Source organism: Homo sapiens, chromosome 3 (assembly GCF_000001405.40).
Source record: "Homo sapiens chromosome 3, GRCh38.p14 Primary Assembly".
Classification (NCBI taxonomy): domain Eukaryota; kingdom Metazoa; phylum Chordata; class Mammalia; order Primates; family Hominidae; genus Homo; species Homo sapiens.
In genome coordinates, this window is record NC_000003.12 from 17,328,827 (window position 1) to 17,354,981 (window position 26,155).

The 26,155-nt window shown below is 36.2% G+C and overlaps 1 protein-coding gene and 1 pseudogene across 65 annotated transcripts in view; one reads left to right on the forward strand and one right to left on the reverse strand.

The window, feature by feature from the left end:
- The window catches only part of TBC1D5 (TBC1 domain family member 5), a 585,470-nt gene that overhangs the window by 171,665 nt on the left and 387,650 nt on the right, over positions 1-26,155 (reverse strand). The window lies entirely within an intron of this gene.
- Positions 4,300-4,605, forward strand: RBISP6 (RBIS pseudogene 6; annotated as a pseudogene).

Below are 26,155 nucleotides of genomic sequence, written 5' to 3' on the forward strand. Positions count from 1 at the left end.
GATAATGGATCCATCAATGTGGATCCACAAATACTAGAATTATATCTATCGGTCATTTGGTACAAATGCTTTGGCATAAATTGTTTATAACATTATTAAGCTAAGGGATGAGGAAATAGTTTTAAAAAGGAAATGTTTGGTGGGTAACACTGAGGAAAGAGGAAAAAAGGAGTTGGAGGAAGGTGCTACAGAGATACTTCCTGACTCTACAAGTTTGCCTCATACTGGAATGGAGAAACATTTCTGCAAGCACCACCTCATGTCACTGAAAGGCATCTCTCCTGTAGAGCCACAGGATGGCACAGACTTCTGATGCTAGAATGAAAGTTTATTAATTATGGGAGACAACTCACTTAGGTCCTTTGTAATATCCGTGGTGATAACTTGATTACTTCAGAATTATTGTTCTAAGTCTTCATTATGTCATCCACCAACATGAATGGGTTTATATAACAAACATGTTTACATAGTATGACTGTGAGTATAAATAAAAGGTGATATTCAGCTCTGATGTTCAGGTACAAATAAATAAGCTATGTATGTATATGTTTTACCTTAAGGTGCCAAGTGACCTACAACTGATAATTTTTAAAAAGGCAATTCTCAGTCACCTTAATTTTATGGGAACTTGGTGGTTTTATTTTTCATCAGTAACTATTGGTGGAAACACAAAAAAATAAAATAATACCCTTGATTTTATGGAGGATAAAAAATAAAAATTATAACAACTTTCAAAACATCAGAAAAGTGATTGTAAACTCAATTTTGCAAAGTGAGTTACGAAGTATATTTAGACTTATTAACATAAAAAGAGATAGTTAAAGTAACTGAAGTGGCTCCAGAAAGCAGGTCTCTTGACCCTAGTCCAATGCTTTTCCCACATTAACTCCCTCCTGAACATTTCCTTGGTCTCACAGTCCCCAGCTCCTTGGTTTTACTTCCTAAAGATGCCATCTAAGATCTAACAATAACCATTTCAAAGATAAGAACTAGTACTTTGGATTCTATCACCCCTCATCCTCCTACCTTGCCAATATCCAATCTTTGATAAAACATAGCATTAATTTCTCTATTCTTCATCATGGGCTACAACTAAAAAGCATTTTAGGAGAAACTTAAGAATATTAGCAGGCTATTTCCACTACATATTGCTGCTCCTCAAACTCCATAAGACTCTTCATTTACAGACAACAACCCAGCAGCACTGGGAACAGAGATATGAACAAAACATGGCAGCCCTCACAGTTCTCAGCCACCTCCCTTGCAGTTGCCCCATCACATTTTATTACAAGCTCTAGTTCCTCAATCTCCTCAACTTCCTCCCCATCTACCAGGCCCTTCCTCCTGTCTCCATTTTCTTCCCTGACCAGTTAAAAGTCTATAGTCTATTACTTGAAACACTCAATTCCCTTTCCCTACAATCCAGCTGTTAACATCTATGAGGCGAAACTCCAAACCTGCAGGAGGCTAACTGTCCTTGGCACCCACATGAAGTTAACTCAGGTGCTCAGGGTAATCTCTCAAATATGAGTGCTCCTAGTATAAACTCTGCTAGTTCTCAATCTCAGTGGTTGCCCTCAATCATCTCTCTCAAAGCATTCTCTCTAGCTATCCTTAGCTCACTCTGCTTCTTTAGTGCCTATTTCAATTTTTCTCTGATAGCCTCAAACCTCCCAACCTGCCATTTCCCACCATCATTCTCAACACGTGGCCACGGTTCTTACTCAGCAGTCTTCAGACAGAACTCTCCCATTTTCCAATCATCTCACCTAGAAAATTACCAGCACCCAAGCCCATCTTTTCCACCTTCTGTCTTGAAAGTTGGAGATGAGTTCCCCTTGCTTAACCATTTATCTGCTAAATCTCCTCTTCAAATTAGATATATTCCCTGTGATTTTCAGACTAATATGTGTAGCTGCCTGGACACTGGACTTCATAACCTGGATGCCCTACAAGCAGTTGACACTCAAAATATCCAATGGTGAAATCATTTTATCCTCCAAATCTGCTCCTCTTGTACTTACAGCTGACAAAGCAAAAATCTGAATCTACTGCTCAACTCCTCTGTCTCCTCAGTCTCAACTGATGTCCTTGTCCCCATCCAATAATTGTCAGTCCATGGTTTTAAGCTTTCTGATCCCTCCTTTTCCTCCCCATTCTCATTCTAGTCCAGGTCCCTGTCATTTGGCCTATTTGACTGCATTGCCCTTCTGTCTCTAGTCTGGCCTCTCTTCAGTCTCCTCTTCATACTACACCCTTAATGTGTCCCTGCAATTAGAATGTGATCCTGGGACAACCTTGTTTACAACCCTTTAGTGACTTGCTACAGCCCTGAGGACAGAGTTTAAACTCTTAACCGAGATGGTAAGGCTCTTCCTGGCTTTACCTGCATCTCCTTACCAACTTTCCAACTCCCAACTCCAGCCCCTCTAATCACTGTTTAGGTCGAAGTGTCAACTCGTTCTTAATCTCCATTTTCTCTCCAATAATCAAGTCTTTAATCTTTTGCACTCCTTACATTCAATAACATTTGTCTTGGTTGATAATACACAATATATGACAACTCTCTTCTTCCCTGGTCCCTGTGATAATGTACATTTGTCCAGGTCTTCTTCTACCTATGTTCTTCCTCTTAATAGAAATACACTATACAATGACGTATTACTAAATACCCAATGACTGTTTGCATGAGATAACTTTTAAAAAGAAAAATACAATGTGTTCATTCCCAAATGTTTATTAAGAATGTATCTATGCCAGGTGCTGTTCAGGGTGCTGGGGACACAGCAATGAACAAAATAAAGTCTCTGCCTTCCTGGAGCTTATATTGTAGTGGAGGAGCCAGAATGTTAATAAAGAAGTACTTAATAAATCATAAATGCTATTAAGAAAAATAAAATAGGTAAGGGGATAGTGAATCATAAACAAAGTGAGGGAACAAGCCATGGGAACATCTTGGCATGGGTGGATAGAGATGTTAAAGAAGGAGACAGCATGTACAAAGGCTCCATGGCAGGAACAGCTTGACGTGTTTGAGGAACATCAAAGACCAGTGTGACTAGGCACGGGTTTGGAAAATGAGGTTGGAGAGGTGGCCAGGGCCCATGTAGGGCCTTATAGGCCATAGCAAAGAAGGATTTTTGGATACTGTTACAAGTGCTATGGGATGCTCTTGGAGGGTTTGAGCAAGAAACTGTTATAATTCTATTTCTATTTTAAATGGGCCAATTTTGCTGCTGTGTGGAGAACAGACTGTAAGGAGACTAGGATGAAAACAGGAAGACCAGTCGGGGGCATCTGTAATAGTTCCGATAAGAGATAGGCCTACAGAAGAGTGAAGTGGCCTGGTGGAACTGGTAACAAGTGGGGGTATTCTGGATATATTTTGAAGATACGGCCAATGTGATTTGTTAATTTACAGGAGATGAAAGGGAAATAAAGGAATCCAGATGATTCCTAAGTTTCAGGTGGGCAAGTAAGTGGATGCTGGTGTCATTTTATTTACAGATGGGAGAAGACGGGAAACAGCAGTTTTTAGGAGAAAATCAATAATGCAGTTTTGGCCATTTTAAGTCAGCACAATCTTGCGGATCTGCAAGTCATAATTAGGCAGTTGGATATGTGACTTTAGATCTCAGAGAAGCACAGGTAGAGATATACCTTTGAGACTCATGGACTTGGAGATTATACTAAAAAGCCACAGGCCTATGTAAGATCACTTAGGGAAACAGAGAAAAGAAAAGGTCTGAGAACTGAGTCCTGGGACATGCCAACATTTAGGAGCCAGGAAGAGAAAAATGAATTAATAAAGGAGATTGAGAAGAAACAGCCAGTGGAAGTAGGGGGAAAATTAGAAGGGGGGTAATTCAGGAAATGAAGTAGAAAGAATATATCACAAAAGAGGAAGAAATCAATGGTTTCAAAGATAAAAGGCTGAGTAATGAAATAAAAATTGATAACTGCATATAGTAACATGGAATGAATGTGGTTAGGTGGAGTGGGGCAAGGTGCTGGGGGATGACAGGCCGAGAGTGGTGGATTTAAGAGAGAGTGGAAGTTGAAGAATTGGAAATTTTGCTGTCCCTCTACTCTTCTTGTAGAGAGTTTTGCTCTAAAGGGTGGTAAGAAATGGAAAATAGCTGGAGGGGGATGTGTGGTCAAGTTGGGGTGTTTTAACATGTGTTTCTTATTCCTTCAGATGAGATAAATCATAGCATGTTCATATGCTACAAATAATACAGTACAGGGGTGGGTGGTGTCACATAGTGCTGGAGCTGCTGCGTAAGGGTATCGAAGTCAATGGCCAAGTCAATGGTATCGAAGAGGGAAGAAGTCCAGCAATGTATTTCATATATCCAGTTAAAAAAACTTTAGGGTTCAAAACAAAGCAAAACCAATTACCACTAATCTTGTAAACAATTTAAACACTGAAAAAGTTAGCAGAGTGAATAAAGTTTTTATACATATACAGAAAAAAACTTGCTCATTTCTCAAAAGGCCTTTCCCTTGAACCTCTGCAGAAACAGCTGATTCCTCAGCAGCATCATGAGAACAAACCAGTTAATGATGGTTAATAAAACTATAAGATTAGTGGCTCAGCTGTAATACAGTGTTGATGCATCCAATTCCCCAAAATAACCAATAAATTAAATGTTTAATACAATTAAAAATACAATAGAGATGAGAAAATTATGTAATAAGAAACGGATATAACTGCAGGAACAAATTCTTTTGAGTAGGAAATAGCAAGATCCAATGCTTAAGCAGAGGGATAAGGGTCAGTCTTGGAAGGGAGCAGAGAGATGCAGGAAGCTGTAAGGTCTGCTTGTGGGAATACTGAGGAAGTTCTATTCTCAGTGAAACAAGCAGCAAGGGCATAGCATGATGGAAGGGGACCAAGTGAGGAAGGGCATTGTTTGGAGAGAAGTGTTAGATGTTTAAGAAGTCAGGAAATATAGTAGGGTTGCTAGACAGTGCTAAGGTCCATTAGAAGCTAGAGAAAGTGAGTTCAGTAAGCATGGTTATATTTTTCTCCTGTTACTTTTGGCTGTTCACTTACAAGCATGAGTAGGGTTTGGGTTTTTCTAAGCAAGTAACAGGGAGAATGGGCAAGGGTTTTGAGGGGATAAATTCAAAGGAGTAATTAAAATGATAAAGCATGGAACAAGTTGGGGAAATGAGGACATTAGTGGAGTAAATGATAATGAAAAAGCAGTGGGGTAAATGAATTGGAAGTCAAGCAGGGGTTGGAGATAAGACTGAAAGGATTAAGGTGACAAGTCAGAGAGTAGCATGCTTAAAATGAAGGCTCTTGAGGTGGTGTGGTCGCTGGAAATATGACCGTGAGAGTGAGTAGCTTGAGGTAAGGATGTCAAGGAATAACTGCAGAGTAGAGACAGATACTACCTGTTTCATAAAGAATACTGACTTTATGAGCCACCTGAAGGATAGAGGAATCTTTTCTACCTATCATCTAAATCATCTTTAGAAATTCAAATTGATGTTAATTATCAGACTATGTATATACAGACTCTGCTGATTCCTAAGGTAACTACATTAAATGAACATACTTGCTGTGGATATTTTATGTAAGACATTTTCTTTTACACTTATAAATTCTGGGAGTTAATTATTATGTCCCCATTTTATAGACGAAGCAGTTGCAGTGCAAAGATGGCTAAGTAACTTGACCAACATTACAGAGCTATGAAAATGGTGGGGTCAGGATTAAAACCTAGGTAGGACTACCTGACCAGAAAACTGAAGACTTTTTCTGCTTCTTAATGATGCCTTCAAAGAAAGCCTAACTCTTCTTAAATATAATCTCATTGTTAAGGGCAAATACACCTTTCTCATTCTAAGGATTGTGGGATCTAGTCTTTCACTTCAAGACCTAGTTAAATCTAAATATTAAAATACTGGTAAGTCAACTTTAGATATAATTTCTGGATAAGCCGTTTTCATATTTCCACAGAATTGTATCAAAAGGATTCAGCAAGGTAATTGCAGTTGAGAACTTTTTAATTCTTTCCAAAGTAATCTGACTTTCTGACTCTGCATATTAAACATTATACTCAATTTTGGGGGGAAAATCTACAGATAAGGCACAGATAAGCCAATCAGCTTAGAAATAATACTAAAATCTGTATAAAATAAATTGTCCATGTACCCTTTTAATCAAAATAAGATGACAGAGATTTAAATTTGGCCTAAGCCTTAAAATCTGGTTATATTATACCCAAAGGTAAGAAAAGCAATTACTTCTTATAAGAGCTTCTTGAAAATGGCAAATATTAATTTGATTATTTTAATGGATTGGTATTACTAAACATATCTTAACAAGTTATGGTCTTATCTGACCCTAACTAACAGGGGAAGTCTTAAGATGGAGCACTTGGTAAGTTTTTCTCTGTCAAAAAATAAAAGGTAAGAATCAAGTGGCTGTTACTTTGGAGTACAGATAATTATTATTAACAGGATACATAAATGTGCAGATCACAATATGTATATTTTATAGGTGACACCTTTGCATTGCTACTTCCATAATGCTGGGAGCTTTTGCCCTAAATCATCTCCTATCTTTCTAGATCTTTCTGGTGGTCAAAGCAGCAGTGCAATCAGTGACTCCACACCATAAGGAGAAAGACCCATCTCTGACTCCACTCAGCAGAACCACAACATCCAGACTAAAAAACATTTAAAAAATTTCCTTGGTGATAATTGCTTTACTTTTTATCCACAAAAAGTATCATTAATACCGACTTGTACACTTAATCTGCTTTAAAGATTGTAGAACACAAACTAAATAGGCATGGTTCCTCCCTTCTAAAGTTAAGAATCGAAACAATGATCTACGTTTTAAGGAGTCTATATAGAATCCAACTTGAATTTTACAGAATATCAAATTACTCAGGGGGGGTTTCAGCTATTATGCTTGAGAATTCAAGTGATGAATTCCCTTAAAGTTGAGGTGTCATCTAGACAGAAGAGACAAAGTATATATTCATAATTACTGGAGGTCTTATGTTGGCACAGTGAGCTGCTATGAGTTTTATAGTGCCCAAATAAGTATTGCAACAAAATAAAGCTCATGCTGGCTTCTTTCCTTGTTTTCTATGACTTTCTTCCTATGCTGCTGACCACTATTAGATCACTTTCATTCTCACTGAATTTCAATGCATATAGCCACCATTTCTCAGGGTTTACAATGTATAAGGAATGGGGCTAACAGTGTACGTCTAGTGACATATTTAATCCCCTAGTATATTATTATTAAAACAATAACATTAAAATTTTATTAATTTTAGATTTGAGAAAACTGTGGGCCAGAGAAGCCAAAGATAGCTAGTAAGATATGGAAAAGAGGATGCAAGCCTACAGCATGTGAGCTAAACACTATGCCATATACCTTGTAATATTTTAGACTAGCAAAAAATATGGCCTAGAAAACAAAGGGAAGAATGTAGAAACTGGAAAGCTGCATGTTTCTCCATTTATGAAAACAATTACTCCATGTTATTTAACTGGGATTGCATTTGGCTGCAAATAAGAAAACAACTAAACGGTATCTTACATATAAAGTTTATTTTGTTTCCTGTAATCAAGCAGAAGTCTGAAGTATGTGACTGCTGGCTTTTGGTTCTGCAGCTAAAATAGGTCACGGCTGAGGTCTCTGCAACTCTCTTTGGCATTCATTCAAAGTTGTAAAATGGCTGCTACATCTCCAGCCATCATAAGAAAGAAAGAGAAAATGATAAAGAGGAAAGGGTGGCACCCACGTCAAGAAAGTAAATGTTTGACATAAATCCCCAGCAACCTGGAATTAAATATAATTGGCCCTAATTGTGTCACAGTGTAATCCTGAAGCTAAATGTAGCATCACTGAAAAAAAAAAAGATAAAAATCCAAAACAAAAACACAACCCAAAAAACTCCAAATCTATTTTAGTAAAGAAGAAAGCGTCGATGATATTAGGTGAATAAATAGTACTGTCTTCCACATTTGACTTCACAAGAAAGAAATTTGGTATGTTTGAGTTTCATGACAAATGATGTGCAATGCATCATATAAAAACAACTTTGCACAAGAGAAGATATAGTTAATCATTTTAATTTTAAAGTATAGAGAGGGTGATTGCCTACTAAGAATCCATTCTGGCTTTATTATTCCTTCCTAAACTAACTACATGTAGTTAATCTATGTATATGTCCCCAGCATTATTCGAAAAAAGTCAATGGCATTCTGCTCTGGAGGTCAGTGGTTCTCAAACATAGCTTGCACCAAAATTATCTGAGAGGTTTTTTTTTTTTTTTTTTTTTTAAGATAACTGGGCCCTACCCACAGAGTTTCTGATTTAGTGAGTCTGGGGTGGTGCCTGATAATTTATATTTCTAATGAGCTCCCAAGGGATTCTAAAATTGCTGGTCCAGGGACCACATCTTAAGAATTACTGCTCTAAAGGTAGACACCAATTAGTTTAAGGCAAACAGTAGAAACTATCTAGGTCTGGGGTAGGCACGTGATGTCATTTGGCCCAATTGGACTAAAAGAAACTCTGTTACGTTGTACTTGGTGAACGGTTTTATTCTGTCTCACCAGTTTGGCTAGAACAAGAAAGCCTATAGCTCCAAAATCATTGTCAATCACTTTGTGATTACAAGAGAGTATGTCTTAAGAAACTGATGATGAAGTTAACACAGCGGAAATATGGCGAAAATCTTGGATCCTTAATTGAGCCTCTTGTGTCACAGTACCTCCAGACTTCAGCTAGTTTGAGGCAAGATATTCTGAAGCTTGTAATCAAAAGCATCCTAATTAAGACAAAAGATAAACCTGAAGTTTAAATAAAGAACACAATTTTATTTTCTTTAAAGCAGAACATGAATAAATAACATCTCTATATAATCCAAAGCTCATGTGAGTTATTGGTTTAAAATATTCCTCTACGCCATATTTTTACAATAACTGTTAACGAGTACCAAAATGGATAGTTTGATTTTTTCCCACTGTCTGGCCTCTACCTAATGAATAGTAAAAAGAAAGTGGAGAAAGTAGAAAGCCTAAATCATTTTATCCTGAGTGAATAAATAATTATCAATTAATTAAGCTGACTAAATGAAATAATTGAATTTTCTTGCTTTCTTATTGCCAATTTTGAATTTTCCCAATATAATCTCTACTCTCTGCCTCTCACTGCTATCCACAGAGAGGCCAAAGAAGAGAGGAAACAAAGAAGACTCAATTAAATAAAACAAACTGAATAACACGGTGATTTTAAATTTTGCAGAGTTCAGGGGTCACTGAAGCAATAATTTGTTGTTTAGGGAATCCTAAAGTTTTAATAAAATAGTATTTGTAATTAGTTATTTTTATTCTGAGAATTTTGGGGATGCTTTTTAACTGAAGATGCCAATGAATTTAAAACTTTAGAACCATGTAAGATGACCCGTCTTTAGTTAAGGAATGCAATAGGACAGAAAAGCGCAGAGAAAACAAGAATTGAGATGGCATGGAATTCAAAACTATGACTACTTATATACTGAAAAATAATTATAGAAGCTGTTTAACAACGGACACCTCCAGCAGCTACTTCCCTTCATCTGTTTGCCTGAGTACTCCGTACCTCCAAGGTGCTGGCTATCATCAATCTTCTCTTTCCTCACTGGCCACCTCCTCACAAAACAAAGCAGCCCAAGAAACCCTCTTCATTAGAACACTGTGCCAAGCACAAATAAATTCTCATTTCACTACTAAGGTGAAAGAATAGATATGGAGATGAGTATATTTTATCATTAGCAACACGAAAATAAGTTTCAACTGTGATATTAAAGTGGTAATATTTACTTCATTCATAATTGAAAGACATGTTCAAAATAATTCATTTTGGGAACACTAGTATGTAGTACCAGCCTGAAACAAATTATGCACATACTTACGTCTTGTAATTTATTTAATTGCTTTCTAATTCCTCATTTTCTTAACTAAATTAGCTAAAAGGGGAAGTATATGACCAAAAAATGAATGTCCATCATCTAAATTAGTATACAATGAATTCATCTTTCAAACTATAAGATCCAAGATGGGCAGATTTCTATCCCTGCCTTAAAGGAATACTGCCTATTTAAACAGATTCACAGAGGGTTTGATGGTCTCATTTAGATATTCCTGCTTCTACAGAAGTTAGCACAAAATACACTGGTGGCAAGCAGTTAATTCATTAATCAGCCAAATTATTTTTGAAGAAAAGATAGCATTAAACAACACAGTACTGAAAGTGCAATTGTGGTTGTCTGAGGTCCCTGTCTGCAAAACGTGTGGTAAAGACAAGCAATGCCTATGCTGTTTCTAATTATTCCAATTATCATGGCACACTATGAAAACTTGATTAATAACACTGAAGATATTGTTGTGGCAATTAGCCATATGGTTGTGGGACTTTATTCTGTCACGATTTAGCCATTAGCATCTACTTATGTTTGTCAGAACAGTGCATCCGTGACAAGTTGAAGTTCCGCTCACCTTGCCAAGTCCCCTGTGAGCAACACTAGAGAACTGTTTATTCCTAGGAGCCTTTTGCCTGAGTAAATTTTTCACGTGGCATCCGGTCTGACTGGGGACAAATGTCAAATAACTTATCTGATGACCCATCAAGCTAATCTTTCTCTGAAAAACCACTCAGTGACATGTGTGTTTAAACAAACTAACTGAAGAAATTTTACTTGACCAGTAATAGCTGGTTATCTATATTTCCCCACATATTCCCATGGTCAGTAATTAAGAGAAACTAATTTTCGTATACTGATATATAGAAATCTATAAATACAGCATTAGAAAGGATATATGTGTACATATGTACACACACATGCCATATAGCAAAAAATTTACTGCCTACAGTATTTTTGCATGACATTTGCAGTGAATTTACTCAGGAAAGTTGAGAAGATAATCCTTTTAATTATTAGTGAGGAGTTCATTTTAAGGAAAAAGAGAAGTAAAGACATTGGTCAGTTTCTAAAATTAATGCTAGGGCAAACACATACCTTGCAGTAGAAGATTAAAAAGCTCAATTAAGAAAAACAAAGTTTACATTTTGAAATGGAATTAATGTTAATGTGAGAAATATAGCAGTATATGTTTGCTTAATTAATTAGCTAATTAATTAATTTTTATAAGATAAAGCTTTGATATAGTTGCTAGCAGTAGGCAAATTTGCCAGTTTTTCTTAGAAGCTAGAAGAATGGTAAACAGTTCCCACTGTGTTTACAAACCCTTAAGGCAGCTCAGAGCTCCCCAGATGGAAGTGACGGGTACTGGGGGGTAAAGTAACACAAGAGGGAGATAGCAAGAGTTCTGTGTTTCCATTTCATGTTTGGGTCCCCTCTATACTGGGAATGGGTCACAACATGAAGGGATAAGCAGTTACCCAGGTCTTGCCTGCAAATGTTCAGTTTGAGAAGTTCACAAGGAGAGACAATAAAAAAGTGGTCTATGTTCCTGAGGTATAACCACATTGGGCCAGTGGGGTCGGCCTTCAGACAATCAGGAGTTTGAAATCCCCAATGAAGTAGGCTCACATATAATTCCAGCTACTACCACAGGCAGGGAGGTGGCAACAGCAGTGCTGGGGTGCAGCCATGGCTGAGGGGCTGGGCACATACAGGGCCTCTGAGTGAGATGTAAGATTTCACTGGCCTCTGTACTATATCAATACCTGATTTAGAGTAGCCTTATGAAGGAAGTACATGTCTGACAAATAGAAAATATAGCCATGGGTTGTCACTGTAACTTAACAAAAGTATTTATTGTTTCATGTTAGGAAACTGACTTACAAGTGTTGTCCCTTGGAGTTTCCAAATTCTTCCAAGGGCAGCTGAAAGAGCAGAGGGATTATTAAGAGGGACATGTCACCATAATGAAGTCTAGAGTCAATGATGGGGTGGGGAGGACTAGCTTCCTTGCAGGGATCTAAAGAATTTTATCTATTCACATACATTTATAAAATAAGTACAGCTGTGTGTATAGTAGCGGTATCTAGAAATCTTCTATCAGTAACCCATGTCTCTGGTACTTTCTTAGTCACCACTGGGTCATCTCACTGTAGATAAACTTCTGAACAACAGGCACTGGCTTCTGCAACTTACAACGTTCTGAAAATGTCACATTAATATTTACAGAAGTCCCTCAATTTTGCATAATGACTCTACTGTGATAATTTTATTTTTAGAAAAATATGCAAGTAAATATTTTCTGCATATTATAAAACTATATTTTCCTATAAAACAATCTGTCTTGCTATACTAAATAACAATGGCTAATACTTATTTGAGTGATTACTATGTTGAGCACTTTACATGTAGCTCTTTATTAAATTCTGAATTCTTTTTTTTTTGAGATGGAGTCTCGCTCTGTCGCCCAGGCTGGAGTGCAGTGGCATGATCTCCGCTCACTGCAAGCTCTGCCTCCTGGGTTCACGCCATTCTCCGGCCTCAGCCTCCCGAGTAGCTGGGACTACAGGCGGCCGCCACCACGCCCGGCTAATTTTTTGTATTTTTAGTAGAGACGGGGTTTCACTGTGTTAGCCAGGATGGTCTCGATCTCCTGACCTCATGATCCACCCACCTCGGCCTCCCAAAGTCCTGGGATTACAGGCGTGAGGTACCGCGCCTGGCCTAAAATCTGAATTCTTAAAAGGTATTTCCCTCATCTTGTAGATGAGAAACTGCAGCCTGGAGATGCCAGTTACTTTTATCAGGTCACACAGAGTAAGGAGTAGAGTTGGGATTCAATTCTTGGGAGGCTGACTCATATTCTTAATCACCGTTCTATATTACCTTCTAATAAATGACATTTAAATATAGTAACACTTTTAGACTACTACATTTAAATGATGAGAAGTAGCTGGGAATACATTAATAGAACATTAAAAATAACTGCAAAACAAATATTCAAGCTAAAAATTGCAGTATGAATTAACAATACACTCAAACTTAATTCTTCTGACACAGAACTCATCATTTTACCTCTCTCCCACCCCAACTTTTATCTTCTTCCATAGTAGTAATTACTCCTAGTCCTTAAGGCCTCCCTCTTCCCATCCCCAATACAGCATTCGCTGCCTACTTGTAGTTATCTTCCCCACTCCAACTCCACTGCTATTGACCTTATCATTTCTTAATAGATGCTCCATCAGCTTTCTAACTAGTCTCCCTGCTGCCATCTTATTTAGGGCCATTCTGCTGCCACAGATATCTTTCTAAGATATAAATATGACCAATTCTGTCCCACACTGCTCACCTAATGAATGCCTTTGTGTGGCATCTAAAATCCTGACTATCTGCTGAGACTTATCTTTGTCACTTCCTCATATGCAGGTCACATTTTAGTCTATCCTAATTGTAGACTACAGAGTCATTTAATACTTGTCAGGAATGCTCTGCCTTCTTACATACATTTGGAGAACTTTTTCAAAACCTTGCTCAATAATCTCTTCTTGCTTGAACCACTTCCTGATTATCAAGAAGCACAGATGACCATTCTTATTCTGACATATGTCCACTCCATTGCTACACATGCCTCTTATTTCAGAATCACATGCCTCTTATTTACAGGGCTAATTTCTTCTACACACCAAGATGAACTCCTTGAGCTGTATTTCTAGTTAGTACAGTATGTAATAGGTACCAAATTAAAGGAAAATATTTAATCTACAACTTAAATTGGTTACACATACTCTTTTACATATTAGCTAATGTCAAGGCTGACTATTAAAATAAATTTTTCCTTATTCCAAAAGCAATCTGTATATGTCTCAGGAAAGCTAGCAAACAAAAGCATAAGCAAAAGGAAGAAAAAAAGATACCCCTAATCTCATTGCCCAGAAATTATTTTGGATTATGCTTTTCCAATTTTATTTTTATGCACATATAATATATAAACAAATTTACTTTATAATAAAAATATGACCATAACACGCATATTATAATCTTTTTTCTATGTCAACAAATATTAACCACTGAAGAGTCATTTAAAGTGAATGTATACTTTTCCCTTATATGTATATACTATTACCTATTAAATTATTCCTCTATTTTTAGGCATTTAAATTTATAGAATTTTTCAGTGTATCCTCTATTTCCTTCTCCTGCCTAATTGCCCTGGCCAGAACTTCCAACACTATGTTGAATAGGAGTGGTGAGAGAGGGCATCCCTGTCTTGTGCCAGTTTTCAAAGGGAATGCTTCCAGTTTTTGCCCATTCAGTATGATATTGGCTGTGGGTTTGTCATAGATAGCTCTTATTATTTGGAGATACGTCCCATCAATACCTAATTTATTGAGAGTTTTTAGCATGAAGCGTTGTTGAATTTTGTCAAAGGCCTTTTCTGCATCTATTGAGATAATCATGTGGTTTTTGTCTTTGGTTCTGTTTATATGCTGTATTACATTTATTGATTTGCGTATATTGAACCAGCCTTGCATCCCAGGGATGAAGCCCACTTGATCATGGTGGATAAGCTTTTTGATGTGCTGCTGGATTCGGTTTGCCAGTATTTTATTGAGGATTTTCGCATCAATGTTCATCAAAGATATTGGTCTAAAATTCTCTTTTTTGGTTGTGTCTCTGCCCGGCTTTGGTATCAGGATGATGCTGGCCTCATAAAATAAGTTAGGGAGGATTCCCTCATTTTCTATTGATTGGAATAGTTTCAGAAGGAATGGTACCAGTTCCTCCTTGTACCTCTGGTAGAATTCGGCTGTGAATCCATCTGGTCCTGGACTCTTTTTGGTTGGTAAGCTATTGATTATTGCCACAATTTCAGATCCTGTTACTGGTCTATTCAGAGATTCAACTTCTTCCTGGTTTAGTCTTGGGAGAGTGTATGTGTTGAGGAATTTATCCATTTCTTCTAGATTTTCTAGTTTATTTGCGTAGAGGTGTTGGTAGTATTCTCTGATGGTAGGTTGTATTTCTGTGGGATCGGTGGTGATATCCCCTTTATCATTTTTTATTGTGTCTATTTGATTCTTCTCTCTTTTCTTCTTTATTAGTCTTGCTAGCGGTCTATCAATTTTGTTGATCCTTTCAAAAAACCAGCTCCTGGATTCATTAATTTTTTGAAGGGTTTTTTTTGTCTCTATTTCCTTCAGTTCTGCTCTGATTTTAGTTATTTCTTGCCTTCTGCTAGCTTTTGAATGTTTGCTCTTGCTTTTCTAGTTCTTTTAATTGTGATGTTAGGGTGTCAATTTTGGATCTTTCCTGCTTTCTCTTGTGGGCATTTAGTGCTATAAATTTCCCAAATTGTCCCTGTTTGCAGACGACATGATTGTATTATCTAGAAAACCCGATTGTCTCAGCCCAAAATCTCCTTAAGCTGATAAGCAACTTCAGCAAAGTCTCAGGATACAAAATCAATGTACAAAAATCACAAGCATTCTTATACACCAACAACAGACAAACAGAGAGCCAAATCATGAGTGAACTCCCATTCACAATTGCTTCAAAGAGAATAAAATACTGAGGAATCCCACTTACAAGGGATGTGAAGGATCTCTTCAAGGAGAACTACAAACCACTGCTCAATGAAATAAAAGAGGATACAAACAAATGGAAGAACATTCCATGCTCATGGGTAGGAAGAATCAATATTGTGAAAATGGCCATACTGCCCAAGGTAATTTATAGATTCAATGCCATCCCCATCAAGCTACCAATGACTTTCTTCACAGAATTGGAAAAAACTACTTTAAAGTTCATATGGTACCAAAAAAGAGCCCGCATCGCCAAGTCAATCCTAAGCCAAAAGAACGAAGCTGGAGGCATCATGCTACCTGACTTCAAACTATACTACAAGGCTACAGTAACCAAAGCAGCATGGTACTGGTACCAAAACAGAGATATAGATCAATGGAACAGAACAGAGCCCTCAGAAATAACGCCACATATCTACAACTATCTGATCTTTGACAAACCTGAGAAAAACAAGCAATGGAGAAAGGATTCTCTATTTAATAAATGGTGCTGGGAAAACTGGCTAGCCATATGTAGAAAGCTGAAACTGGATCCCTTCCTTACACCTTATACAAAAATTAATTCAAGATGGATTAAAGACTTAAACGTTAGACCTAAAACCATAAAAACCCTAGAAGAAAACCTAGGCATTACCATTCACAGGACATAGGCATGGGCAAGGACTTCATGTCTAAAACACCAAAAGCAATGGCAACAAAAGCCAAAATTGACAAATGGGATCTATTTAAACTAAAGAGCTTCTGCACAGCAAAAGAAACTACCATCAGAGTGAACAGGCAACCTACAAAATGGGAGAAAATTTTTGCAACCTACTCATCTGACAAAGGGCTAATATCCAGAATCTACAATGAACTCAAACAAATTTACAAGAAAAAAACAAACAACCCCATCAATAAGTGGGCAAAGGATATGAACAGACACTTTCCAAAAGAAGACATTTATGCAGCCAAAAGACACATGAAAAAATGCTCATCATCACTGGCCATCAGAGAAATGCAAATTAAAACCACAATGAGATACCATCTCACACCAGTTAGAATGGCAATCATTAAAAAGTCAGGAAACAACAGGTGCTGGAGAGTATGTGGAGAAATAGGAACACTTTTACACTGTTGGTGGGACGGTAAACTAGTTCAACCATTGTGGAAGTCAGTGTGGCGATTCCTCAGGGATCTAGAACTAGAAATACTATTTGACCCAGCCATCCCATTACTGAGTATATACCCAAAGGACTATAAATCATGCTGCTATAAAGACACATGCACACGTATGTTTATTGCGGCACTATTCACAATAGCAAAGACTTGGAACCAACCCAAATGTCCAACAATGATAGACTGGATTAAGAAAATGTGGCACATATACACCATGGAATACTATGCAGCCATAAAAAATGATGAGTTCATGTCCTTCGTAGGGACGGGGATGAAATTGGAAATCATCATTCTCAGCAAACTATCGCAAGGACAAAATACCAAACACCCCATATTCTCACTCATAGATGGAATTGAACAATGAGAACACATGGACACAGGAAGGGGAACATCACACTCTGGGGACTGTTGTGGGGTGGGGAGAGGGGGGAGGGATAGCATTAGGAGATATACCTAATGCTAAATGACGAGTTAATGGGTGCAGCACACCAGCATGGCACATGTATACATATGTAACTAACCTGCACATTGTGCACATGTACCCTAAAACTTAAAGTATAATAATAATAATAAAAGAATTTTTCAGTATAATACTATTGCCAAAAAATCTTTAAAGCAAAAACTCTGTAGATCATTAATTATATGGTTTTAATAAATCCCAATAATACAATTGGATGGTAAAGTTTATACATAGCTTTATGAATTTTGAAACAAACTGTGAAATTGATCCTTTCCATGAAACCTTCCAAATATGGGGTACACTGAATTATTTTGGCTTCACCTTTGCTAACCTAATAAGCAAATATGACATACCCTTGCTTTAATTAGCATGGTTTTGATTACAAAGTTAATTTTTTTTCAAATGCTTATGGGCATATACATACACATACATCTAAAACTGTCTGTACCACCTGCCCATTTTTCTATTCAGTTACTAATCCTTTTCCTATTTATTTGTAAGAAATTTTAATATATTAAGGATATTAATGCTTTGCCATATACTTGTAAACATTTTTCCTAATGTACTGTCCTTCAATTGATAATGGTTTCCCATGATATATTGAACATTTTTATTCAGTAAAACCCATCAACATCTCCTTAATGGGTTTCTTGCATTGAAATCATACATAGAAAGGTCCAGCCATACCCAAGAATACATTAATATATAGCTACATTTTTCCTAGCTTTTTAAAGCAGTTTCCTTTCACGTTTAATTCTTACATTATATGGAATTAATTTCAGCATATGGAGTGGGGTATGCATAACAGATTTATTATCCATTGTCCCAAATAGATAATAAATTATGTCAACACTATTTACTGAATATTCTATCCTTCTATACAAATTTGAAGTCACCTTTATAATATTAACACACATAAGCATGGAGACCAGATTCAATAGGTGTTCACTATTAGTATAAGCTAATTTGTATAATATACTTGAATATATGGACTTTCTATTGTGTTCTACAGAATGGCTTGCCAATTACTGTGTTAGCTGACATTGTATGTAATTCAACACCAATTAAAATTTACCTTTATTTAAATTATATACTTTTACATGTATGTTTTACAACCTAAAGTTTTGTTTCTTTGGTTTACACAGATTGCTTTTCAAGAGGGTGGTACTTGGCCCAGGAGTCAGAGATAAGGTTTTGGATGTAGATCCTTCAAGTACCAACTATGTGAATTGGATATGTTACTCAGCTTCTTGATGTCTCAGGGAACAGTATTCGTTTTTGTCTAACTCATAGTGATGCTATGAGGGCATCTGATATCAAGCACCTGAAACCACTTGTTTAATGACTATATATATTTAAGTAAATTTGGTTTAGTCTGTCTTAATTCAAAATAATCTAGTCTTTTGAAATGCTCCTCATGACACAGTCACTTATTTCAGTAGTCACCTTTAAAACTGTTCTTGTTTCCTCTCAATATAGATAATTGAGAACTAACTATAGCAATTTTTCTCAGGTACAAATTAAATTAAAAAAAATTATTGACAAGTTACCTAAAATCATAAGCCTAAATTTTTTTTCTGACATAGCAGGAGGGAAGAGTAATAATAAACATGCCTCACTTTCTTAATTTCCTGAGATGAAGCAACTGAGTTGTAAAAATATAAAAATCCCTACACTTTCTATCACTTAAAAAAAAAAATCAAAGAAAGTCTGAGCTCGGAATTTTTTGAGTTTAGATTTAAATCTAAATTATCCCTTGGGACAAGAGTAGAGGCTCATGTCTGTAATCCTAACACTTAGGTGGGAGAATCACTTGAGCCCAAGGGCTTGAGATCAGCCTGGGCAACACAGCAAGACCTCATCTCTAAAAAACAACAACAAAAAAATTAGTCAGGTGTGGAGACACATCCCTGTAATTCTTGCTACTTGGGAAGCTGACGTGGGAGGATCCCTTGAGTCCAGGAGCTGGAGGCTGCAGTGAGCTACGATCACATCACTGCACTCCAGCCTGGGTGACAGAGCGAGACCCTGTCTCTACAACATAAAAAGTCGTCCATTAGATGGAGCCCCCCCACCTCATACTTACAATATCATCTTGGACTTTAAATTCTTGGGAAGAGACAAGTAAAATTTAAAGATCATTCATCACATTTAATAGTTCCATAATTAATTTATTCCAAAATAAGTTAAATTGGACAAATAATTTCTCCTATAATTGCAATAGCATTGTGTATTTGCTGAAAATCACCTTGGAACTATCACAGCCCCATGGAATTCTTCATGTAAAAGTACAACATTGCTTTAATAAATGCCTTCACTATCAATCTTTGACCAAATCCACTGCCTGCTAATATATTAAGCAAGCGATTCTCCATTTTTAGTGTATATGCAAATCTCCTGGGCATCTTGGTAAAATGCGAATTGTCAGTGGGCTACCCTGATATGGGACCTGGGGTTCTGCATTTCCACCAAGTTTGCAGGTGACGCAGTGTTGCTGGTCCTCGCACTACACTCTGAGTAGTAAGGGATGAAGAAATGCCTTTTAAACAAAACTGGCTATAATTATCACTGGCTTTAATTTACCTCTCATACAATTCTTCTTGGCTGTCTTTTTTTCTGATTTCTCTTGCCACTTTCCACTTTAGACTCAATTTCATTCATGGGGTCAATCTACTGGCCACAGTAGTTAATCATAAAGGCTGCAGGCAAAACGCACTAAATTCTAATAATCCTTTATTAGCCGTTGTGGAGTATATGACCCATTCCTACCAGAGATACCTGCCTACTTCATCAAAGATTCACCTGGATGGCACCAGAAGAAACCTGTTCTCTTCATTCTAAGTGTATTTTTTATGAATAGCTTTGAAATAAATTTGAAATTGAAACTGAAACAAAATACCACCAAACACTAGAATCTCTAAATTCTAGACTGAGATATTTGGTTATTAGGAATAGACAATCACAGGCTGAGTAACATGGAATTTAACTACAAATTCTATCATTACCTTGCAAAACGGGTAGAGAAAAAGGTGTATTAAAACTGAGAAAAAGAAATGGGGAAAAGTAGCAGAAACTCAAATAGGTGGAGTTGAAAATGAGATTAATGGCATCTGATGGAAATTATCCAAAACTGAAAGAAATCCACTTGCTTTCTTTGGGATTCTATACATACATGAGGAATTAATAAATGTCCCACAATGTTTTATTTTTGCTTCAATTAGTCTATCAGTATATATCAGTGGTTCACAAACTTTACTGTACATCAGAATCACTTTCAGGGCATGTTAAAACATAGATTCTTAGTCGCCTCTAACACTTTCTGGTTAAGTAGGTGGGTGGGACTGAAGAGTCTGAATTTCTGACAAGCTCTCAGGTGATGGCTGGTGCTGCTGGTTCTGGGATGACACTTGAGAATCACTGGTATACATTATTCTGAAAACCAGTTGTGTGTATGATTTTTCTGTTTAAAATAACTAATTACTACTTTTTAAATATCTGGGCTTTCATTTGAGTGATACTTCTCATTTCCCATGCATTTTAAATCAGTATGGTGATTGTAACTTTCTACCTAGTACGAAATACAAGTACAAGAAGCTTACAACATTGTTCTGTTTGACTGATGTATAGCAATGCTTAAAAACTTTTTAGAGGTTGGGGTTCCTAAAAATAAATAAGGGCAGGAAGATAATCAGCAGAGAGCTGAGAGGTTCCCAAATGAAAATTATTGTTTTGTCCTTTCCATTAAATTCTTAATGTCTTCAGCTGCAGAAGAGCTCATTTCTGAGGTTCTTCTTAGCCTTATGAGTTAATCGCACCAAGAGAAGTCACTTTAACTCACATGCCTTTAGGAGTAATGATACATTTAAACGATTAAACAATTAGGAAAAAAATGCATATCTCCCTAATGAAAGCAGTTAACACACAGATCCATGGTTTATATGAGTATCACAAGTCATTTGTAAATAACATGTTCATTTTAGATATGTAAAGAGTTCTGTCATGCCCTATGAAATAAATTATATTTTATTGTTGCCCGGGTGTTTCATAACTTTTATTTATTTACTGCAAGAGTGGAGAATTAAGATAGAGTAGTTTATTTCACCAAAAGACTGACAAATGGCTCATTAGACACTTATGGAGCTGAAGCTAATCGTACAACTTTTGTTGTTGTTGTATTAATTGTCATTGCTTGCTTAGCATGCTCACACTGGTGGTCATCAGCACCCATTTTTTACCACTATCCCACAAACTACTCCCCAAAAGAAAGAAATAATGAAAAGAAAAAAATAGATAAGAAAAAAAAGGAAAACAGAACTTAAAATATGATGTGGGTTAGAGAAACGCATGGGAGGAATGACAAAGAATAAAAGTGATAGCCTTTCCCCACTGGGCCACCAATAAACATCAATCCCAAACAGCAGTCACCTCACCTAACAGCTTGAGCCAGAGTCAAAGAGCTGCTTTTTTGTTATTCAGATTAAATATCATTTACATTATATACTTTTTTATTTCACCAGAGACATAAGCTCAGAATTGATTGAATGTGTACTACCTGCATGTAATGATTTCTCCTTTTTTACAATCATGTGCTAACGTTGCTCAGTAATGGCCTATGGATGAAGAGACAGATGTACTACCAGTCATTCGCGACACATTTGCATTAACAAATCATCATTTAATTAAAGCCCATCCAACAAGTTTATGCTACTTAAATAAAGTTCCTTTCAATAAAAGATGCCACAGTGGCACACAGTTAACTATGAGGAAATTTTTTTAACTATATTTATTTTTGTGTCAAAGGCTTAGGTGTGCATTAGACAACCATTTATTAATTTTAATTTTGCTTGGAATAAACACCCTGACAAACAGCATTTCAATTCAGGCTGCTATACAACAGAATCATTTACTTTCAGATACAATCATGCAGTAACACCACAAGCTCCTGCTTCACAAATTGCTCAATCCCCAATCCCCAAATACTATAGAAGATGGCTTATATATAAGTTATACAAGACATGCATTCTAATATTCAAGCCAAAGCTCTAATATTCACATAAACCTAAAATCCTGCTATAATTAGGAAGGAATATTATTTTAAAATATCACACTAAGTTTCATGGGTAAATATTTATTCAATAGAGTCAAAATTTCTATGCTTCTTTAAATAAAAGTAGGGAGACTTGTAGTACAAATACTGATTTCAACCTTGGTTTCACAAACTGGTTGCTGTTCATGCATTTGACTCAGCAATCCCATTACTGGGTATATACCCAAAGGATTATAAATCATTCTACTATAAAGACACATGCACATGTGTGTTTACTGCAGCACTGTTCACAATAGCAAAGACTTGGAACCAACCCAAATGCCCTTCAATGTTAGACTGGATAAGGAAATGTGGCACATATACACCACGGAATACTATGCAGCCATAAAAAAGAATGAGTTCATGTCCTTTTCAGCGACATGGATGAGGCTGGAAACCATCATTCTCAGCAAACTAACACAGGAACAGAAAACCAAACACCGCATGTTCTCACTCATAAGTGGGAGTTGAACAATGAGAATATATGGGCACAGGGAGGGGAACATCATACACCAAGGCCTTTCAGCGGGTGGGGAGCAAGGGGAGGGATAGCATTAGGAGAAATACCTAATATAGATGATGGTTGATGGGTGCAGCAAACCACCATGGCACATGTATACCTATGTAACAAACCTGCACGTTCTGCACATTTATCCCACAACTTAAAGTATAATTTAAAAAAAAGAATATTCTGATTACATTTTATTACATTACCTACTTCTTTTCTTTAGTAGGGAGAAAAAACAAGAGAAAAGAAAGGAAAAAAAAAAAAGAGATTCCCTAGCACTACCTCCTACCTACAAAATTTCTCATCATCTTAAAACAAAGTTGGCTAAATATGGTAAGGGCATTTTCTCCTACCCTTTTCTGAATCCGTTTTTTTTTCCCCCCAAAAAAACCCTCAAACAACGTTTCATCTAACGTTTCATCTAACCTAAAGAGAAACATGTCAAAAAAAAAAACCACACACACACAAAAAACCCTAAGACATACAGAGAAGCAGCCACCCCATGAACCCAGATAATCTAAAAGAAAAAATTCTTTCTTGATGCTAAATGTAAGGACACACATTTAAAGCCAATTCCTACTGATTAATGCAGAGCATTATGCACTTTGTATAAATATGTATACATACATCTATTTCACGTAGGTCTATGTATTACAATAAAAGATGTTATCGGGGCATTATTCTGACAGTTTCTAAGCTGAGAGAAACTTAGTCTTTAAATGCATTTTTTATTTTCTGCAAATAAAAAATACCTTTTATTTTTCCTAGGTTGCATACATTAATGATATGTCAAATGTTTTACTTTAAAAGGCAACAGAAATCTCTAAGTGTTAAAATAAACCTTCTAATTGCCTTCTACATTATTTTTTAAAATAAAAGAAGAGAAATAAATTTTTTAAAAATGTTCTTTACTCTATCCCACACTAGATTTGTTTTGGGTTCCTTTTATAGAGTTGACTGTAGAGACTGGTGAAATTTTACCTTGGTACAGGATTCAAACTAAATAATGGGATGCAGAAATGTGTCATAAATCAACTTCAAATATTGAACAGAAGACAAATAACAGAAGATTTATATTCTGACATAAAGAACCATCTCTAACTACAATACAAAGCAAAAGGCAAAAAAAAAAAAAAAACAAAAAAACCTACTGTGCACTCCAACAGGTTCTCCTTGCCCTTTTATATGCTAACTCAGAATAGTAATTATGGATCTTGCAAGTTGACTCCTGTTTTCCAGAAATATGAGTTGTACGTAAAACATGCCTTTTCATCGAAACAATTACCATTAATCAAAACACTGAGAGCTAATACCACTCAAGTCCAACCTACCGCTGTGCCCAGCAATATATCAAACTGTCTGTTGTCAAACACACTAAACAAACTTAAACACACTGTTTTCACTACAAACAGTAAAAGAAAAAAAAGAAATGCTTGCTAAGTAATTTTTGAATTGAAATTGCTATCTCAGTAATCCATTCTGTCACTGTGTTTTAATTTTGAGTATTCAATCACAGTCCAACACAGACATATCATTATTTGGCTCTGGGAAAAGAAAATCCATGGCACTGATAAATGAAGTTACCTGCAAGAGACTTGGTATTACAATGAATTTGGTTAACTTGAGATAATTTGATTTAGAAGTACACTTAAACAATAACACATTTTACTCTTTTAGGGGTTTGTAATGCTTCATTTCCCAGCGAAAACTATTAACATAAGAAAGGTTATGATTGCTCTACAAGAGTCAGAAATAGTAAACCTATTTCTACAGCAAGAGTATAAGGTCCATAAGTCCATTGGTTTACTTTTTAGTAATTTACTGCTTTATAATACACTTTTTATATTTAATTTTGAAATCTGTATTAGGGAAAATGACACAAGAAATTATCTACTGAAATTGTAAATTACCTAACTTCAGTTTGCATAAATATCAGACAATTACATCACTATTATATTTCAATGCATAACTATGTGAATGCGAAGCCATCATCTATAAATATAGACTAAGTAACTATCTTGAAAAACCTTGCTTTTCTTATTATCTTTTCCTTCTTTACTCTAATTTTTGTTTTTCTTATTAAGCCAAAAGGTTAAGATTCTCATCCAAAGAGAAAAAACATTTTACAAATCAGAAAGTCAGCTCTGCTTAATAATTTCTAATCAGTGGAGATGTCAGAGTACTTCATATAAGAAGATGAGAAGAGGAATGGAAACAGTGGAGTTTAACAAACAGATCAGGCATTTATTAGCAGCAAGCTCCATTATGGATTTCTGAGCTTTGTAAGCCAAGCTCCCCCAAGAGTAATTAAATTTTTATTTATAATGGGTTTGTGACTGTTAACTTCATGTTGCCTATGCTTGTTTCCCTCACATATGCTCATATACACCAATGCAAAATAGCATTCCACGTTTTCTATCAGACAGTACATACTGATGATTTTTCATCTAAAATAACAAAATTGAACATTAACAAAATATGTACATAAAAAAAGACACGGTATGTAGTGGTTAAGACAGACTACATACACATGGGCACATTACTCTTTCACAGACTCAAATATTTTTCACAGCCTTATGTAGTAAAGGATACTACAAATCTAATACAAAAGGATATAAGAAAGCTACACAGCCAACTACATGTTTACTGCTAGGGATATCAAAGATTAGTGTAAATGTAACTGGAAAAAAGGTCTGATGTTCACCCAAGGCCAATGCATTCTTACCCATTTGAGGAGTTTCTTCATTTACAAACCTCTCCTTCTGATAGACTTTATCACTTTTGTCTTATCATTAATCCCTTTCCTCTTCTCATCTAGGTATAAACCCCTGTATACTTTACACCTTCTTTTAAATGCTTAATATAAGTAACCACAGGAGAATCTCTTCTCCCCTTGAAAAACTGCAAATAAAGATGTCAGCTATTGAGTATATTTGTGGCGTCTCCAGCAGCTGCTGTTAAATACCAGCTGGTCTAGCTGTTTAAAATTACCTCCGAGTTGGTATTATAAAGATGCCTGGGCAGTGTTGCTGTATTAATGGATTATTGAGTGAGCGATGAAAACCTTGGCCAGCTGATGTGTTTTATTACAGATAGGCTTTATGATGTGCAATCACTGTAATTTTTACAACTAGAGGAAATATGAAAAAAGGAGTAAAAAAAAAAACCCCAGAGAAACTGATTTAACTAGATTATTCCTATCATTTTGTTTCCTAGAAGAAGTCAAAGTGCATAATTACCGTGTATAAATATACAGGTATGAACTTATACACACAATTTATCCATCCATATGGATGTGTTTTCATCAATATAGGCAAGCAGAGAATGCACACGGACAAATTCAGTATGCATACAATTTGTGAGAATAGAAATTTGTTGTTGTCTGCCAAACCACCCAATTGGCTACAATGGGATCACATG